The sequence below is a fragment of the Homo sapiens genome, chromosome 7 (assembly GCF_000001405.40).
Source record: "Homo sapiens chromosome 7, GRCh38.p14 Primary Assembly".
NCBI lineage: Eukaryota > Metazoa > Chordata > Mammalia > Primates > Hominidae > Homo > Homo sapiens.
The window spans coordinates 87,635,834-87,657,178 of NC_000007.14; the positions used below are offsets into that span (position 1 = coordinate 87,635,834).

At 33.6% G+C, this 21,345-nt stretch overlaps 2 protein-coding genes across 11 annotated transcripts in view; one reads left to right on the forward strand and one right to left on the reverse strand.

The window, feature by feature from the left end:
- ABCB1 (ATP binding cassette subfamily B member 1) overlaps positions 1 to 21,345 on the reverse strand; it is a 210,279-nt gene that overhangs the window by 132,817 nt on the left and 56,117 nt on the right. The gene's annotated exons all lie outside the window — the stretch shown is intronic.
- Positions 1 to 21,345, forward strand: part of RUNDC3B (RUN domain containing 3B) — a 203,899-nt gene that overhangs the window by 7,436 nt on the left and 175,118 nt on the right. For all 8 annotated transcript variants that reach the window (NM_001394228.1, NM_138290.3, NM_001394224.1 and 5 more), the window contains exon 2: positions 14,989 to 15,104. Coding sequence is in view for 7 of the 8 variants with exons in the window: in NM_138290.3 (NP_612147.1) it covers positions 14,989 to 15,104 (116 nt within the window). In the remaining variant the exon portion in view is untranslated. The remainder of the gene's footprint in view (positions 1 to 14,988; positions 15,105 to 21,345) is intronic.

Consider the following 21,345-nt stretch of genomic DNA (forward strand, 5'->3'; position numbering starts at 1 on the left):
TGGAATAATACAGTATAGACCTTTTTGTGTTTAGCTTATTTTGTTCAACATTATGTTTGTGAGGTTCATCCATTTTGTTGCATGTTGCTGTAGTTTGTTCATTTTCATTGCTGTATCTTATTCCATTGGATGAATATACCACAATATTTCCATTCTGTCACTGACTGTCATCTGAGTTGTTTCTACTTTTTGACTACTACTAACTAAATATTCATTCATATTTATTTTTGTGATGATATGTACATTTTTCTGTCTGATATTAGCTTGGAGTGGAATTGATGAGTCATATGGCATGCAGATATTCGGCTTCAGTAGATGTGAAAGTTTTCAAAAGGAGTTGTACCAACACTCATACTAGTGAGCATTGTGTGTAGGAGTTCCAGTTGTTCTGTATCCTAACTAATGCTTGACATTTTCTTTCATTTTAGCCAATCTTGTATGTTTGTTGGGGTGTCACATGGTGGTTTTAGTTTGCATTTTCTTGATGTCTAATGAAGTCAAGCACCTTTCCGTAAGTCTGTAGGCCATTTGGAGATTTTCTTTCATAAAATGGCAATTCAAGTCACTTAGCAACTGGAATCTCTGCTTTTTGTTTATTTTTTAGATGTGCAGTTCTTTGTACATTCTGTATGGGAATCTTTTGTTGGATACATGTAATGCAAATGTCTTCCATTTGGTGGCTTTATTTTTCACTCTGTAGTATGTTTTGATGAATAGAAATTTCTGATTGTAAAATGGCCCATAAATTTCCTTCATGGTTAATGCTTACTGTAATGTCTTTAAGAAGCCAGCCTACTCCAAAGTAATGAAAATATTCTTTTTTCTTCTAAAGCTTTATTGTTTTATTTTTACATTTATATCAACAATCCATCTGTAGTTTATTTATGATGTGAAGTACAGGAGTCAAGATTAAATATTTCCCTTAAGGAAAATCAACTGACCTAGTACCATTTATTGGAAAGACCATTGTATTAGTCTGTTCTCATGCTGCTATGAGGACATACCTGAGACTGGGTAATTTATGAAGGAAAGAGGTTTAATTGATTCATTGGTCTGCAGGGCTGGGGAGGCCTCAGGAAACTTACAAGCATGGTGGAAGGGGAAGTAAACATGTCCTTCTTCACAAAGTAGCAGGAGAGAGAAAAATGAGAACATGAGAACCAAGCAAAGGGGGAAGCCCCTTATAAAACCATCAGCTCTCGTGAGCTCTTACTCACTATCATGAGACTAGCATGGGGGAAAACATCCCCATGATTCAATTACCTCCCATCTGCTCCCTCCCATGATATGTGGGGATTATGGGAACTACAATTCAAGATGAGATTTGGGTGGGGACACAGCCAAACTATATCAACCATACTTTCTCCACTACACTCATGCATCACATTTATCTTAGGTGACTGGATAATTTGTGGTCTGTTTCTAGACTTTCTTTTTTCCAATAGTCTATTTGTCTCTCCTGAGCTAATATCGTACTAAATTAATACCTATAACTTTATATTATGTCTTGATGTGTGGTAATATAAGTTATCTAGCTTTATTTTTCAAGATTATCTTGGCTATTCTTGGCCTTTTACAAACTAAATTTTAGAATCAACTTGTCAATTTCTGTTAAAATATTTTTCTGGGATTTTTATTAAGCTTGCACTGGTACTATAAATCAGTTTTGGGAAAACTGCCATCTTTATGATATTAAGACTTACGTGCAACCCATGAACATAACCTATTTCTTTATATGTTTAAATATTCTAGAATTTTTCTCAATAATGTAGTTTTGCATATATAGATATTTTAAATCTCTTATTATATTTATTCTTGCATATTTGATATATTTTTATATTATGGTAACTGAAATCATTGAAAACTTTTCATTTTCTTGTGGTTGTTGGTATATCGATATAAATTTGACCTTTTAAAATACTGGTCTTATATCTAACAGTCTTACCAGATTTCTTTATTAATTCTAACAGATTTTTTGCAGTTAAAATTTTTTTTTCTGAGTGCACAGTCATGTCATTTGCTTATTTTATTTCTTCCTTTTTCAATCTTTATGGCTTTTCTTTTTTGTCTTATTGCACTGGCTAGGACCACTAATGCAGTGTTGCAGAAAACGTTCAAAATTTTATTATTAAATAGGATGTTTGCAGTAGGTTTTTCTTACTTCCCTTCTATTTCTAAATTGCTGAGAATTTGTATCATAAATGGATGCTTATTATTGTATTATTAAATTTTTTTTGTCTTTCAAGTAAACGTGATTTTTCTCTCTTTTGTTGTTTTCATAGTGAATTATGTTGACTTTTGCATGTTAAACCACTCTGGAATAAAAAAACAATCAGTTGTGATGTATTGTCTTTTTGACATATTTTTGCATTTAGGGTGTTAATATTTTGGGATTTTTGCATATTTATTCATGGTAGAGATTGGTATGTGATTGTCCTTTCTTATAATGTTCTTGTCTGGTTTTGTCATTAAGATTATTTGGCTTTATAAAACAAGTTAGGAAGTATGTGTTTGTGTGTGTGTGTGTGTGTGTGTGTGTGTGTGTGTTTCCTCCCCTGTTCTGTAGAAAAGTTTGTGTAAGACTGATATTTCTTTCTTAAACATTTGGAAGAATTCACCAGGGAAGCAATGTGAACCGCAAATTGTCTTTGTGGGAAATCATTTAGTAACGGAATCAATTCATTTAATAAATACTGAACAATTCAGATTTCCTGTGTCTTCTGGTATGAGTTTCAGTAGGTTTTTCAAGGAACATACCTATTTCATTTATATTGTCAATTTTTTTTTTTTTGCTGAGACTTTTCTTAATATCCTCTTAATGTCTTTTTATTGTTTGAAAGATCTGTAGTGATTTCCCATTTTTCTTTCCTGATATTATAATCTCCATTTTCCCCATTTATTTTGCTAGGCATTTATTAATTTTACCAACTTTTTCAAAGAACCAGCGTTTGACTTTGTTGAGTTTCTCTGTCGACTCGTGTTATGACTTTGTTAATTTTCTCTGTCGACTCCTCAGTTTATTTAGAAATCTATTGTCGGCTGGGCATGGTGGCTCACACCTGTAATCCCAGCACTTTGGGAGGCCAAGGCGGGTGGATCACGAGGTCAGGAGATCGAGACTATCCTGGCTAACACGGTGAAACCCCGTCTCTACTAAAAATACAAAAAATTAGCCAGGCGTGATGGCAGGCGCCTGTAGTCCCAGCTACTCCGGAGGCTGAGGCAGGAGAATGGTGTAAACCCCGGAGGCGGAGCTTGCAGTGAGAAGAGACGGCACACCACTGCACTCCAGCCTGGGCGACAGAGTGAGACTCCGTCTCAAAAAAAAAAAAAAAAAAAAAAATCTATTGTCTAACTTTCAAACAGTTGAAGGTTTTTTAGTAACCTTTTATTTGTTGATTTCGAATGAATTCTGTTGTGCAGAGAACATATTCTGAAAGATTTTGAGCTTTTGAAATTTGTTGATGCTTTATGATGCAGTATATGGTTAATTTCAACATATATTTAATATGCATTTGGAAATAATGTGTATTCTGTCATTGTTGATTGCATGATTTATATATGTCAGTTAAGTCTAGTGTTTTAATTGCCTTGTTCATGTCCTCTGTATTCTTACTTGTTTTTTGTATACTCTTTAGTATTGAGAGAGATGTGTTAAAGTCTACCTCTATGACTGTAGATTTGTCTGTTTCTCCTTTTAGTTTTGTGATTTTTACTATAAATATTTTGTTTTGTTACTAGTTTTATGGAGATTTAGAATTGTGGTCTCTTCCTAGTAGTTTGATTCATTGTCATCATGAAATGTCCCTCATTATCTCTAATAATGCTAGTGCCTTAAAGTCTGTTTTATCTGCTACTAATACAGTTATAATAGCTTTCTTTTAGCTAATGTTAATATGATGTCTCTTTTTCCATCTTTTACTTTTACTTTTGCTCTTTCTGGGCTCTTATATTTAGAGTGTCCTTGTAGGTAAGATAGGATTGAATTTTGCATTTTATGTAGTCTGATAATCTTAGTCTTTTAATTATTTAGCCCATTTTAATTAACGTTATTACTATTATATTTGGATTTATAGCTATCTTACTGTTCATTGTATGTTTGCTTTTTTCTCTTTTCTTGCCTTCTTAAATATTAATATTTTTATAGTTCCATTTATTCCATGATTCCAGTTTTTTACTTTGTGAACTTGTGAGTCATATATTCCATTTCTTTATATATGTTTATATATATTTCTATTCTTTTGGCAGTTACCTTTGGTTTATTACAGCTTAATGCAAATTGTAACTTTTACTACTTCTCCAATAGTGTTAGAACCATTTATTCCCCCACATCCTAAAACATACTTATATATATATGTGTATATATATATATATATTAAATCTTACATTATTTTATTACCATATTTTTTTACAGTAGGTATTTAGGAAATACACATTTATATTTATCCACATATTTACCCTTTCCATTTTACCTTCCTCAGTTTTGGAAAAATTTTGGTTATTATCTTCTTTTTACTTTTTATTTTTATTTTTTAGAGGTTGGGTCTTGCTGTGTTGCCCAGGCTGGAGTGCAGTAGTGCGATCATAGCTCACTGCAACCCTGAACTCCTGGGTTCCAGTGATCCTCAGCCTCCTGAGTAGCTAGGACTGCAGACATGCACCACCACACCCAGCTAATTTTTTTTTTAATTTGTAGATATAGGATCTGGCTATGTTGCCCAGGGTGGTCTCAAACTGCTGGCCTCAGGCATTCCTCCTGCCTGGGCCTCCAAAAGTGTTGGAATGACAGGCATGAGCCACCACGTGTGTCTCCATTATCTTTTTACACTCCAATTACATTATGTTAAACTTTACCAGGCCTCACTTGATTCATATTCTTTCCCATGGTTTCTATTCTTCTTTCTCTTTATGCTTCAGCTTGTATGTTTTCTATTGACTCCTTTTCTAGTTCATTAATTATGTCTTATGCTTTGTCTATTCTACTGTTTAATCCATTGAATGAGTTTTTAATTTCAGGTAGTTCCAGAATTTTTATTTGATTTTTTAAAATAGACTCTAACCCTCTGATTTTAAAAACCTGTCTTTTTACCTATGTACTTCATTTCTTCTCATCTCTTGAATGTATTACTCACATTTATCTTAAAGTTCTTATTAATTTAGAATTTTGAATTATCTTTATATCTACTTTTATGGTCTGCTTTTTCTCTCTTACTCCTTTCTTTGTCATGTATGTTCTATCTTTTGTCACATCTAGAATGTTATTGAATGCCACACAATGTTTATTAAGTTATTTCTTTAATACTTTTGTTGTTCTTTTAGTACTATCATGTTTACCCTTTTGTCAACCATTTTGTGTCAAAGTATTCATAAGAACATAGTATACAGTAGAAATAGACCACAGTGGAGTAAACAGATGGAATGCACCACTTAATTTTAGAAAGATATCGCCAACAGTTTACTAGTACCCATGGCCAATAGTGTAGGTTAATGACCACTTTGCTTTACTAGTGTTCATCTTCCTCCATAAGATTGAGTAGCAGCTGATTGCTTTCATCCAATCAGGGACTGTGCTGAATCCAGACTAGGTTTTAACCATGGTTAGTCTTGAACAACCTACAGTTTGCTCCTGGCCTTTCAGGGTTTTCAACTTGGATTTGGTATATTTTCTAGCACCCTTCCTCCAGCAAGCCAAAACAACAAAATGCACTGATTTGGGGGCGACAGTAAACAATCACAGTAACTACTGTTTACCAAAAGCTGGCCGACAGCTGTGAATGTGCACTAAATGAAAGAGCTCTTCTTCCCTGCCTTCCTCTTTTACTCTGACACTAGATTGCATATTCAAAAACAAATCCTCCAAAATACATATTGTTTTGAAAATATTTTATGAAAGAAAGAAAGTGGATATGATGCCCACATTTTGTTGTTTTAGCTAAGTAAAATGATTTATTGTCTGTTATCTCCAGTGATGGTGATTGTCTTTAGAAGAGGTTAGGAAAACAATATCCTCCAAAGATTCATATTTAACATTAGATTTTGTGATTTTTAAATCTTAGTATTTACAGAACCAAATCTTCTGTTATATTTCAGGTCTAATCTCAAAATTAATATTAATAACAATTTAAAATTTTCATAAATCAATCACAAAACATCTGTATCTTAACATGATAAGAAAATATATTTAATTTATACGTGGACGATATGCTTTTTGCAGGAAAAATATTAGATTCAGCCTTCATCACTAATAATGGAAATTTTAATTATAATAATTTTTATTTAAATTAGATTTATTTTATAGTTAAGGCTAACATTGCCAGAATTCAAACCCAAATATATCTGGTTTCAAAACATATATATATATTTTTAAAACTGTGCTGTCTTGATTGTCTGTGATACAAGTCAGCTGATGTGTGTGTTTGCATAGACAGAAACTGGGACCTTTCATTTTCGTAGCATTCTAGTGTTGATAAACCATGAAGACTATATGTTATGGTTTTTTTCTGTTCTTCACGTTGTTCTATTGCTGCTTTTAATGTCTAGCTTACTAGGAAGCTCACTATGTTAAAGTATTCTATTTGAATATTTTCATTTGTTCTTGGATAAAGAATAATTGGATTCCCAAGGGATATGTGATCCAAGTATATAAAGTGTTCTTTATTAAAATAATTTTAATTGGGAGTTCTTTCATATGAGATTAAACCAATGTATTTTAAGATAGGAAGTTTTCTTGGTTTGATGGCTTACTAATTTTAGATGAATCTTTTTGGAAAGTTTTGCCTTATTTATTTATTTATTTAACATATATATTTTATTATACTTGAAGTTCTAGGGTACATGTGCATGAAGCTGGAAACCATCATTCTCAGCAAACTGTCTTTTTTATTTTAAGAGTGTGCTTCTAACGTTATTTTTTATGTTTGGCAATCTGCTGTCATCAGTCTGCTTATATAGCAATACAAGATGTTAATAATATAGTATTTCCATTCTTAAGTGTCTAGATTAACAATTCTCTTTTAAAATAAATTTTGACAGTACAGATTGAGAAAATATTTTAAATACACATCTGTCTCTTTATTTAATTTTTAAAATTTTCCTTTTTAGAGACAGGGTCTTGCTCTGTTACACAGGCTGGAGTGTAGACGCATGACCATAGCCCACTGTAACCTTGAATTCCTGGGCTCAAGTTGTCCTCTTGCCTCAGCCTTCTGAGTTGCTTAAAATAACAGCCTCTTTCCACCATGCCTGACTAATTTTTACATTTCCTTATAGAGATGGGCTCTTGCTTTGTTGCTCAAACTCCTGACCTCAAGCCATCCTGTGGCTTCAGCTTTGCAAAGTGTTGGGATTACAGGTGTGAGCCACCACACCTGGCCCTGCTTTCTTCCTTTATTTTTAAGTTGATTTTTACATTGCGTAAAATTTTTTGAGATAATAAAATATCACGAAGAGAGTTTCATGTTTCAGGGTACAAATTTCAGGGAAGATGGTTGGGACTTTTTTTGGTTCCAATAAAAGTTTATTTACAAAAACATTTAACTAGTTGTATTAGGCCTGTGGACAACAGTCTGTAGACCCCTGCTTAAAGGATATGTGAAAGGTATTTTTTCTCATTATAAAATATTTTAAATAGATTAAAATTATATTAGAAAAGAAAGAGGAAAATACACATGATGTTTGAGAATTCTTTTTTGGGTGTGTGGGTGCGGGGCAGGGAGTCTGGCTCTGTTGCCAGGCTGGAGTGCAGTGGCATGATCTGGGCTTACTGCAACTTCTGCCTCCCAGGTTCAAGCAATTTTCCTGCCTCAGCCTCCTGAGTAGCTGGGACTGCAGGTGCATGCCGCCATGCTCAGCTGATTTTTTTTTTTTGTATTTTAGTAGAGACAGGGTTTCACCATATTGCCCAGGCTAGTCTCGAACTCCTGAGCTCAGGCAATCTGCCTGCCTCAGCCTCCCAAAGTGCTAGGATTACAGGCGTGAGCCACCACGCCCGGCCAAGAATTCGCAAGTTGCATAATATTTGAAGAAAGAAGGGAAATTACTTTTTTTGTTTGTTTCCGCTCTTTCACCCAGGCTGGAGTGCACTGGCACCATCTCGGCTCACTGCAACCTGTTCCTCCCAGGTTCAAGTGATTCGCCTGCCTCAGCCTCCTGAGTAGCTGGGACTACAAGTGTGTGCCACCATACCTGGATAATTTTTATATTTTTAGTAGAGATGGAGTTTCACCATGTTGGCCAGGCTGGTCTCAAACTCCTGACCTCAGGTGATCCACCCGCCTTGGCCTCCCAAAGTGTTGGGATTACAGGCGTGAGCCACCGTGCCCAGACCTGCAAATTGTTGATTCTGAAAAATTCTCTGTGTTTCTGATGTAAAATATAAGAGAGAAAATAGGCCTTCCAGTGAACAGATATCTCTGGGTATTGTGCTTATTATCACCTATAGTCACTGCTTATATTATGTTTGGTGTGGATTGTGTCATGTCTCTTGGAAGCCATCTCCTTGTTGATCATTGATGCTGACTGTTATTTTAATGGCAGAGGATAATTACCTCACCCCTGTGTTAGAGACTACTAACAGCAATGACATATAATAAGGAATATTGTAAATTTGGTTTGAAATAGTGGAGAGTTCTCTGTCTCATATTTTGGATACTTACGTTCTATTAAAAACATCACTCTTATTAATGACTTTAACCTTTGTGAGCCCTTTTAAGTTTTGAAATGTGATGATTCTAGATGTTTTCATGTACATTAGTTATCTTCAGATATCATTCCATATAAAGGGATATAACATGGTATAGATAAGAAGATCTATTTTATTTGAACATTTTTTTTCCTGAAGCATATTGGATAAATGGCCAAATAATATATGCTTGTTGTAAAGGGATAGGAATATAATTTTTTTTACTACTTATTCTCTCTGTGTATATATGGATATATATATATTAATGCAGAACATTAAATATTAAAGATGAATTTTCACTATAAAAATAATTTCTAATAAAAACTATAGACATTAAAGAAAATTATTTTTGATTTGTCCTCACATTTAAAATTTTTAAGTTATTTTTAATTATAATTATGTTACAAATCTATGAACTATGGAAGGAATTAATGTAATATGGATGTAATTAATATGTTTTAAACAGTTTTGGTAACCATCTCATTTCTCTTGCTATGATGACAAAGGGAAAAAGGTAGTCCATGCTTTCTTAAGTTTTAAGGTTTTAGTCACAATCATGCTTTCTTTCTTTTTTTTTTTTTTTTTTGAGACAGAGTTTTGCTCTTGTTGCTCAGGCCGGAGTGCAGTGGCACGATCTCGGATCACTGCAACCTCGACCTCCTGGGTTCAAGCGATTCTCCTACCTCAGCCTCTTGAGTAGCTGGGATTACAGGCATGTGCCACCACAACCAGCTAATTTTTTGTATTTTTAGTAGAGATGGGGTTTCATCATGTTGGCCAGGCAGGTCTTGAACTCCTGACCTCAGGTTGTCCACCTGCCTCAGCCTCCCAAAGTGCAGGTATTACAGGGTTGAGCCACCACGCCTGGCCCATTGTTTCTCATTTCTAAGCTAACAAAAATTTCCTTGGACTTTGAAGGTGGGAAAGAGAATCTTTTTAAATAGAGACATTTCAAAAACTGCATTTCAAAATCTTAATTATAAGTCTCTTTTATATAAACTTTTGATTTTTAATTTTTATGTAAAAGCTGTTACTTAGACTTGATTTGATATTTTTAGACATTCATCAAATTGTCATTTCATTATTTAAAAATCATTCCTTTTTAGGAAACAGATGACTAATATTAATGTCATCATTATCAGGAAATAGCTCAGCATCTGTGTGATATTTCTTAGATATATTAAAATTCTTTCTACAGGTTTGATTTTTATAGCACATCTTAGTTACTGTGTTATGAAGGACAGATTCTCATTACTCTGGCATATACTCATGACTAGCTATATGATTTTAGAGAAGTGAGTATTGAGTGGGAAGAATCGGTTAGCTGAAAGTGAAGCATAGACTCTAAGGGATTGATTTGCCTTCTGAAATTTTGGGTTGTGTTGGAGGGAGGAGAGCAGGATATGAATGATGAAGCAAAGCTGGAGAACATTATTTTTCTTCATTACTGACTTTGATATAATAGAAATTTTTGTAATGCTTTCTCACCCTTAAATGTCTTTATGCTTGAAAATCATAGAAATTGTGTCTAAGGATATGCTTTGGGATATTTGGACTTCGCTTTTGTTTTAGTTTTTAGTTAGCTGTTGAGTTTAAAGTAATTTAGTGCTCTGATATTTGACATTTTATGTTTTTATGACACAGATAGTATCTTCTGTAGGAACGTAACCTATGAGTAATGTAGAAAAATATTTGTGCATTTTGTTGACTACTGATTGATCCATATAGGTCTCTTGATGATATGAAAATATATGCACTAATAGCCATGGCTTTTTCTTCCCACTACATTTTACAAAGTAAATAGTTTGTTAAGTAATCTAGTGTTATTCCTGGAGAACATAGTGACTAAAATCTTATCAGACTGTTAAAGGTGGAAATTGAGTTCTAACCTAGATTTTTATTTTTGATGAATTAAGCACTTTGTTAATTTTGTTTTCAAATATAAGTTTTGGTGTATTTTATGGAGATGCATTACTATCTTAAATGGCATAATTTTTACAAGCAGTAGATTATTCCTTCCTTGAGCAGTGTGGATGCAGAGTTAGCTTTCTTATTCCATTCTACTGAATGAAGATTAGAGAAATACATTCAGAAATTTCCTTCTATTCAGGTCAAAGGTGGAGGTGGAGGTGGAGATTGTGTGCTTTTTATTTATTCATTTTAGAAACATTTCTCATTTCCTTTTCCTACACACTGTACTTATTATTTCTTATTAAAAGTTTGCCAGGGATTGGCAGCATTATTCTTGTGTATTGTCACTGAGATGGACGTAGGAAATAAAAGTTTTCAAGTCCCTTTTAAATCTGTTTTCTCTTTATCTTTTTGTTTCTATCCATTTACTATGCATTACATCTGGCATTTGTCTAACTTGACTATCCGTTAGGTACAAGAAACTAACTTTATCAGTGTTACTTCCTATATGTTATTTCCCGTTATTGCATGATAATTTATTCCATTGAGCTCCAGTTGCTGTTGTAGATAATACTATGTAGTTGAACATTAATCTATCTCAGCATTCCTCAATCAGGGTTCATCTGAACCAAAGAAGACTGAAAATTATTTGAGTGATTATATTTTCCATTATCCCATATATATGTAATGGTATGTAATTTGTATCATTCTCGTTTCATAGGAGAGTTATTTCATTACACAACAAGAATGCCATAGGGTGGCATTTCTGAAAGTGTACTTCTGGACCCAGATGCTTTCAGAGGTCCACAAAGTCAAAATTATTTTCTTAAGTATTCTAAGACATTATTTGCCTTTTAAAATTTCCATTCTCTTTTGTTGTTGTTATTGTCATTTTCTTTGTCTTTTTTATTAAAAATTCCCATTTTCTAAGAAGTGTATGCTGGAGTTTTCCAGAAGCTACATAATGTGTGCTATTATAATAGCTTGAATGCAAAAGCAGTAATATAATCTAATTGTCTTCTATTAAACACATTAAAGATATTTGCAAACATGTAAACATTGCTACATTTTTCTTTTGGAAAATATAAGTTTCATAAAAATATATTTTTATGCAACATGTAATGAATTTATTTTGTTTATAATTAGTAAATAAATGCAGGCAGTTCTTACTTTGCATGGTTCCAGTATTTCATAATTTAGTTAAGTAACATCAGTCCTACAATAACGTGGTTTCAATTTGAATTACCATTGTAATTCAGTTGTGAGTAGTTGCATAAAATACACATTTTGCCACTAGCTCTTTAGTCCACAAACCATTACATAACTAACAAATACACATCATGATCAGACACCAATAATATCACTTCTTTCAAAGTCTGTCTAGGATTTGTCCCTATGCATCTGAAAATGGATAATCAAAAAGAGTAAATTGGCCAACTTGCAGAGATGAAAGTACAGAAAAGAAATGGAAAATGATAGGCCAGGCACGGTGGCTCATGCCTGTAATCCCAACACTTTGGGAGGCCAAGGCAGGTGGATCATGAGGTCAAGAAATCGAGACCATCCTGGCTAACATGGTGAAACCCCGCCTCTACTAAAAAATACAAAAAATTAGCCGGGCTTGGTGGTGGGCGCCTGTAGTCCCAGCTACTCAGGAGGCTGAGGCAGGAGAATGGCGTGAACCGGGGTGGCATAGCTTACAGTGAGCCAAGATCACACCATTGCACTCCAGCCTGGGTGACAGAGCGAGACTCTGTCTCAAAAAAAAAAAAAAAAAGAAAGAAAGAAATGGAAAATGATAATGCTCAAAGTGAGATTTGCATGAATATAAAGGGAGTTACAGAAGAAATCATTGATCATGGGAATGTGCACATTTCTCCTGTTTAAGAGAATCTAGATATGCAGCCAAAGGAACTTAGTGGAGGCAAATGTTCATATAAAAATGAGGAAAGTGGTTGCAACAGAAAGGATGAAAATGTCCCAGAGGAAGTGACACTGACAGAACACTTCACATTAAAGGGCTTCTCAGAGGTATTTCACAGCATTGAAAGTGTAAAGGAAAACATATTGGAAGCTAGTTCAAGAAATATGGCAGTTTGCCAAAAGACAAAAAAAAAAAGAGGCTTACACTATATCTTAAGTTGTATAAATGAGAAGAATGAGGCAAGCACTGTTCAGATTACTCTTCATAAGTTTCTTACAGAGAAGTAAAACACTTGAATTCTCAGTGTTTCTAATGTTTTAAAGTGTACTAAATAAATGTTTTAGTATTTTTTATTTCCCGATATAACTGGTTGTAAGAAAGTTTTTAATGTTTTGACAAAAATTTATAAAGGTCACAGGAAAATTATAATTTTTACTTAATTATAAAGATTATTTTGCATGGTTTCAACTTGCAGAGTTACTGTTATGGTCCTGTACTGCTGTGCTAAGTGAGGACTGCCTATATTTAAAATCTTTTAGTTCAATTTCTAATATGGTGAATACTAGATATAACCTATATAAACAAATCTTTCTATATTTCCCTTTATGCCTGTCTCCTGTATTTTCTGTCCGGATTGAATAGCATAACTATCAAGAGTAAAACCTTAAAAAAAGCTTGTACTCTTTTATCTCCTTTATAGTTTTTATTTCTAATTCTTTAACAGCTCCCCTTATCTTCTTGATTCCCCACTGTCTTAGGCACTCATATACCATCCTTTATAGGATATTACTATAAAGAGCATGAGGGAGTTGTTTGAGGTGACAGGACTGTTTTGTATCCTGATTTTGATAGTGGTTATATGAATCTACACATGTTAAAACCCATAAACTATATGTTGGGTCTTGCCATGATAGGACGTTTAAACATTTATTTACCATTCTTTCAAAATAGAGCTTACAAATAAATCAACAGGTACCTACTGGGTACAACGTTCAAAGCATTGTCCTAGGTGCTGAGGGAGATACATAGTTCAGAAAGCGTGGTTCTGCCTGAAGGAATTGTGTCCTAATAAGATGAAGATTGAAAACACAAATGGTAGCAGTAAGATAAATTGTAATTTTCTCTTAAGGGAAATAAATGCAAATAAAATGTTTGTTTGTGCTAGGAATATGCAGGTGGATAATTCTCCATTGAGAAGATGACATTTGAGTTGAGACTTGGAAAATACATTGATTTTTGACAGTCAAAAATAGAGACAAAGGACATTCTGATAAGGAAAAATATAGTACACTTTACAGATTTGCAGGTTTTGCTATTTATAAGCTCATAAAAATTTTGGATGTTGAAATGGTTTGTCTGTGACCCCATCCAAATCTCATCTTGAATTGTAGCTCCCATAATTCCTATGTGTTGTGGGAGGGACTCAGTGGTAGGTAATTGAATCATGGCAGCGGGCCTTTCCCATGCTGTTCTTGTAGTAGTGAATAAGTCTCACAAGATTTGATAGTTTTATAAAGGAGAGTTCCCCTACACATGCTCTCTTGCGTGCTGCCATGTAAGACAACCCTTTACTCTTCCTTCATCTTCTGCCATAATTGTGAGGCCTTCCCAGCCATGTAGAACAGTGAGTCAATTAAATCTCTTTCCTTTATAAATTACTCAGTCACGGGTAAGTCTTTATTAGCAGTGTGAAAACAGACTAATACAGACGTATTCTTCTCATTAATGCTCACGTCCTATTTTATTCTATTTTGTGCTCAGAAACTCTCAAAAGCATTTGAGTCTGCAGCTCAAATTTCTTACAAGTAGTATTACTGTTTTTGAGTATTTTGGAGTTAATTTAGTTAGGTCACATTTTGATTTTAATGGGGACAATTAGCTATTTCTGAGTCTTAGTTTTTTCAGTAGATACTTTCTTAGTCCTTTCAGGCTGCTTTAACAAATTGTCTTAAACCAGGTAATTTATAAACAACAGAAATTTATTGCTCACAGTTCTGCAGGCTGGGAAGGCTGAGATCGGGGCACCATCAGATTGGGTGTCTGGTGAGAGCCCATTCCTCATAGATGACACCTTCTGTGTGTCTTTACATGGCAGAAGAGGCAAACAAGCTCCCTCAGGCCTCTTTTATAAGAGTACTAATTCTGTACATGAAAGCTCTGCCCTCATTATCCAATCACCTCCCAAAGGCACCCACCCTTAATACTATTGCTTTGGAGATTAGGTATCAACATATGAATTTTGGGAGTACACAAACATTCTGACCAGAGGAAATAGGAAATATATCAATAAAAAGACTCCTTTCTGTAAAAATTTCCATTTACAGAGTAAATTTGAATAAATGGGGTTTTTCAGATGTTATACTCTTGTAAAATATTTTTACAACTCTTCCCCAAATTGCCTTCCTCCCATTTTTTTCATACTTAGGGAATGAATCAACTCTGCCTAAAAGCAACAATAATCTTTTTTTCATAGGTTTTCTGTGAAGACCCTGATTGATCGGTCTTGCTTTGAGACAATTGATGATTCTTCTCCTGAATTTAACAATTTTGCAGCTATTTTGGAACAGATTTTAAGCCACCGGCTAAAAGGTAAAAGCACTAATGTACTATTTATTTTCCCACCAGCTGTCTTTATAATAAGCTTGAAATTTTAGAAATCATACAGTCTGTGTGACTTAGATAGCCAACATTCTATAATGTGAAATGTCAAATCTTTTGGCCTGTGTGACTACGAAAGAGCCTCTGTTCTCAGATTTACACCTATTTCTGGGATGCATTGAAAATGTTGTGTTAATTGCCACATACAAGGAGAAAAGTGACTTTCCATAAGTAATTAAAATAAAAGCTTAAATTGAAAGGAAGCGCATCCCAAAGGTTACTAGATGGTGTTTTAATCAATTTACAGAGAAGCATTCCAGGCATTATGTTTATTTGTTTAGCATCTACTTTCTTAAACTTAGGTATCTTTGTAAATGTTTTAGCAGGTAGTAGGTTAAAAAAGAGGTATGTAAGAGACATGCTTGTCTTTGATTTTCTTAAATCAAAAAGTATACTTACATTAGAAATATAATTCTCAACAATTTAAAGGGGAACTTGGAAGCTATACTCTCTGAATTTTAGATTCTTTAAATTAAAAAGATCTATAAAATATAGTTGCTAAAATTCAAGAAGTATTATATAGTATAAATCTTAGTAACAATAAGTACTAACTTTATCACATTAATCCCATTATCTGGTCTTCCTAAAGCAAACTTGATCATCAGATATTTTCACTTAAGTTTTTTATTATCTTTACAATCTTAATGATACAGTTTCACATCAGTAGTAGTAACTTGCTTTGGTAACATAACTTATGAGCATCTCAGGCGTACTGTGAAGATTAATTCTATTCTGTACTTTTTGATGCTGAAAGCATCCAGGTTTTAATATAAGTGTTTAAATGAGTTGAGCAGTACTGTGGGCCCAGAGCAAAGGATTGAATTGAAACTACATGGGAGAAAAAATATGAATTCATTTATCCCTCTGCAATTTAAAACGGGGTTTGTAAAATTGCTAATGCTTTTTTCTGTTAAATTTGGTTGTTTTGCATTTTAAAAGGGTTTTTTTTGTCCTTTTTGCTGTTCTGTGTTTCCTAAATTTTCTGCCATTAATGTTACCTTTTATAAGAAAATAAAATTTTTATAAAAGCAAAGGATATGGTAGTATTTTGAGATATTATTAGATACTATATTGTGTGATGATCGTATTTTTAAATTTTATGCATAAATTTATAAACAATGCCTAACTAAAAAGCATATGGAATAGAATAGACTCTGATGTACCTTGATGTTCATGAGAATTTTACCTTAAAACCTAATTCCCTTGATCTGGTATATCATTTAGCATATGATTCTCTCACAAAAACTATCAATAGAAAACTATCAATAGCAAATGAACAGTAAGGCTATGTTGAGACTCCCATGCCAAGTGGTTGGGTAGACTCACTACTATGTAAGTGGATGCCTCCTGCGCACTAATCTGCCATCTTCTGAGTTGTGCTTCAGCAAAATATAGATCACACCCCTTCAGAATTATTTCTAAACAATCAAATCCATTAATGTTATTTCTGAATAATACTATAATGCAAATAGAATCCCCAGTTGATTTATGGATAAGAATTCTACTTGTGTGACTAAGATATAGTAAGAAAGCTGATACAGTACGAATTGTGTTAATTTTTTAAGCTAGGTAAGTTAATTTAAAAATTTCTGTCAGTTGACTCTTGTGGTCACTGATATATATATATATATATATATATAGTAGGAAGTATGAAATAATCTGTAACTTTTGAGATGAGGTATTTTAAAGATCCAAGCATCTGGGACTTTCATATATTATTTCCTATTTTTTGGTATTTTAATATATAGCAAATTGCTTTTACTTTTGGAGAAGTCATGATTATTTTGATAGTACACTCTTCACTTATGATTTAGTTACATAGCAACTAATTTTTCCAGTGTTTTCCTTTACAGAAGTACAAATTAAAATTTTATAACTTTGCGTGTTTCTAAGATCTACTTTTCTACAACTACTGGTTATTTTTGAAGTAAAAGGACATTTGTTTTCAACATTAAACTTTTCCAGAGAGAGATAAAATCTCCCCCAGACACAGTATAGGCTGTGCTGATACAGGCAAAGTGAAGAGCTGAGACAGTTACTTTACTCTAAAAGCCCCGTTATTGAAGAAAAGGAGGCTTTTAAAATCAGATATATTAATATTATTTGCAGTAATCTCTCAATAAGATGTTGATCTTACTTTCCTAGGATATAGCTGAGAAATAGGAATTAATAACAATATTAGAATTGAAAGAGATCTTTGTTCAGGTCCTTCAGTAATTTTTGAACTTTTATTTATTTATTTAAAGCATAATACTTCTCTCCACCCTAACCCTACCACTCTAATAAAAGCCACTGCAAAAGCTGGATAAATATGTAGAACATTTTGTTGAAGCCAGGTTGGAGAAGTTAGGCATTTTGCCTGCTCAGCAACAATTGCAACCTATTCAAAACTCCATACATAGTACCACTTCAGCTAGCACAAAGGATCACAGATTGAGAAGCACTACTGTTTTCTAGCCTCTTTCCTGCTGAAGCAATCTACTCAACAGTATTTCTAACAGGGGGACATATAGTCTTTGCCTTAACACTTCTGATCTCTGAGAACTAAATAAAGCAGTCCATCAAGTTATTGGACAGGTTAGATTATTTGAAAATTCTTATGTATATGAAACCAACCTATCATATTGTGCTTTGGTCTTTTTTCTGCTACTTTTTTTTCAAATGCGAGCCTAATACCAATAAATATTAAAATATAGCTATTTTATAATCCTTTTCCCAAGTTCCCTCTTTTCTTTCTCCCAGGTAAGGTATTGCTAGTTTCTTTAATCTTCTGGAACCACCACAGTCTTACTTAGTCTTCTGGCTTACCACTGATTTGTTAGTATTGCTCTTAAAAATCTGGTTCTCAGAGCTGAGTAAAGTGCTTCAGATAGGCTAAACTCTGTATTAGTCAGAATTTAAGATTACATAGACTTTTGGTTCACATTGAAATTGAGGCTGAGTAAAATCCCAAGGCTTTTAAAAAATTGAACTATAGCTTATATTTTATTTCTCTAAGTTAGTTTGCCTGAGCTGAAGTTTGATAGGGATAAATGCAGTATTTTTTTTCTTCTTTTTCCACTTCAGACATAAAAACACAAATAAGTGGAAAGATATATGTGTTCATAGATTGAAAAATTAATATTGTTAAAATGTTTATATTAACAATCTACCCAACATAATCTACAGGTTCACTGAAATCTCCACCAAAATTTCAGGGTCATTTTTCACAGAAATAAAAAAGACAATCCTGAAAATTAATATGGAACCACAAAAGACCCTGACCAAAGCAATCTTGAGCAAAAAGAACAAAGCTGGAGGCATCAAAATACTTGACTTCAAAATATACTGCAAAGCTATATTAGTTAAAACAGGATGTTACCAGCATAAAAACAGACAAATAAACTAATAGAATAGAATAGAGAACCCACAAATAAATCCATGCATTTCTGGTCTATTAATTTTCAACAGAAGTGCCAAAACACACACTAGGGAAAGGACAGTCTCTTTAATAAAGGGTGTTGAGACAACTGGTTAGCCACATGTAGAAGAATGAAATTAGACCCTTCACACTACAGAAGAAAATCAACTCAAAATGCATTAAATGTAAGATCTATCTACTACAACTGTAAAATTACTAGAAGAAAACATAGGGAAAAGGCTCCATGACATTGGTCTGGGTGATGACATTTTTGGATTTGACACCACAAGCACAGGCAACTAAAGGAAAATAAACAAGTGGAATTACATCAAACTAAATTACATCATCAGAGTAAAGAGACAATTTACAAAAAGGGAAGAAATATTTAAAAACCACACATCGGATAAGGGGCTAATTTCCAAAATATATGAGGAACTCAATAGTAAGAAAATAAATAGCCTGATTTAGGCAAAGAACCTGAATAGACATTCTCAAATAAGACATTCAAATGGCCAACAGGTATATAAAAAGGTGCTCAAAATCACTATACAGCAAATAGATGAAAATTAAAACCATAGTGAGATATCCCCTCGTTAGAATGCATATTATCAAACAGCCGAAGGATAACAAGTGCTGGAGAAGATGTGGAGAAAAGGGAACCCTTGTAGTAGGAATGTAAATTTAGAACAGCCATTACAGAAAACATTATGGAGGTTCCTCAAAAAATTAAAAATAGAACTGCCATTAGTCTTCTATGTGATTAAATAAAAATAAAAATAGAACCTCCATGTAAACCAGCAATCCCACTTGTAGGTACATAGCCAAGGAAATGAAATCAGTGTCTCGAAGAGTTATCTCTACTCCCATGTTCATTGCAGGATTATTCACACTAGCTAAGATAAGGACTCAACCTAATTGTCCATCTACTGATGAGTCGATAAAAAAAAAGTTGCGTATATAAACAATGGAATGCTATTCAGCCTTTAAGAGGAAGAAAATCCTGTCATTTGTGACAACATGGATGACCCAGGAGACATTATGTTGAGTGAAATAAACCAGACACTTAAAGACAAATACTGCATGACTTCCTTATACATGGCATCTAAAAAAGTTGAATTCGTAGAAGTAGAGAGTAGAATGGTGGTTACCGTGTGCTGGAAGGAGAGGGATCAGAGAGATGTTGGTTAAAGGATATAAAAATTCAGTTAAAAGGAAATAAGTTCAAGAGATCTATTGTACAAAATGTTGACTATAGTTAAAGTGTATTGGATATTTGAAAATTCCTAAAAGAGTATATTTTCAGTGTTCTCACCAAAAAATGATAAGTATGTGAGGGCTGTGGTTTAAATGTGTCCCCTCAAATTCATATGCTGGAAACTTAACCCCCTGTCCAACAGTGCTGGGAAGTGGGGCTTTTTGGGAGGTGTTCTTAGCTCATAAGGGCAGAGCCCTCATGAGTGGATTAATACCTCTATAAAAGGGCTTGACAGAGGGAGTTTGTCCTTTTTTGCCATTTTGCTTTCTGCCATTTGGAGACACAACATTCCTTCACTCTAGAGGATGTAGTGTTCAAGGTACCACCTTGGAAGCAGAGACAGGACCCTCACTAGACCCCAAATCTGATGGTGCTTTGATCTTGGACTTCCCAGCCTCTAGAACTATGAGAAATAAATTTCAGTTATCTATAAATGACCCAGTTTTGGGTATTGTTATAGCAATACAAAAATGGACTAAGAAAGTGAGGTAATATGTATATTAATTTGTTAATTAGTACAATTTAGCCATTCCATGATATATACAAATTTCAAAACATGTATATCATATATACAATTTGTATTTGTCAATTTAAAAATTTTTAAATAATTTTTAAAAAGAAAAAATTAATACAGTTATAAGTTTATTCAAAGAAAAAAGAAGAAAGAAGAGACTAACCAGTGAAGCTAGACAATACGGTATGCATTAGTAGTATTAAGAAATCTTAGGAATTGGTTGGTTGTGGGTAGGAGAAAGCTGAGGACTGGAACGATGCAGAGATTCCAGTCTGGATGTGGTCATTACCCAGGGTGACTGAAAAAGAAGAACATGTTTAGGAAAAGAGAAAATATCAAGGTTTGTTTTGGACACTTGAGAAAAAATGATAGGAGAAGAAAGAGAAAGCAAGGGAAGATAAAGGGGGAGGAGGAAAATAGAATAAAGAAGAGAAAGACGTTAGAGGATACTCATTTTCCAAAACAGAGTTAGATTTAGTCTAAGTTGGTAGACTTAATTGATAGTTTAAAAAAAACCTAATTATTTAATTTCATTTATAGAGGAAAATCAATTGATTTGTTTTTTAACTTGTTAGTTGTATTATAGTTCACCACTATTTTTCTTCTAAACTTATTTATCCATCACTAAGCTACTTAAATTTCAAGTTACTCATTCAAAAACATAATGTAATGGATCACTATAAATGCATTTTTTCATTTATTTATTCAATTGTATTTATTGAGTATCTACTATATGCCTAGCACTGTTGTAAGTGCTGGGCATACAGTAGGGAATTAAACAAAAATCCCTGCCCTCATTCATAGCTTCTATCATATCAAATGGTGGGAGGGAAATGCAATTTAGGAAGACTTGTACCTCTGGGAAGATGAACATGACATACTTTCCCCTATTTCTCTCACTAAGTACAATAATAAACCCTGGGCATTATACATAAAACAAACATAAGAAGACTCTGAAAGGTAGCGAGTAGAAGAAAGACTGGTTAAGGACACTAGAACCTTA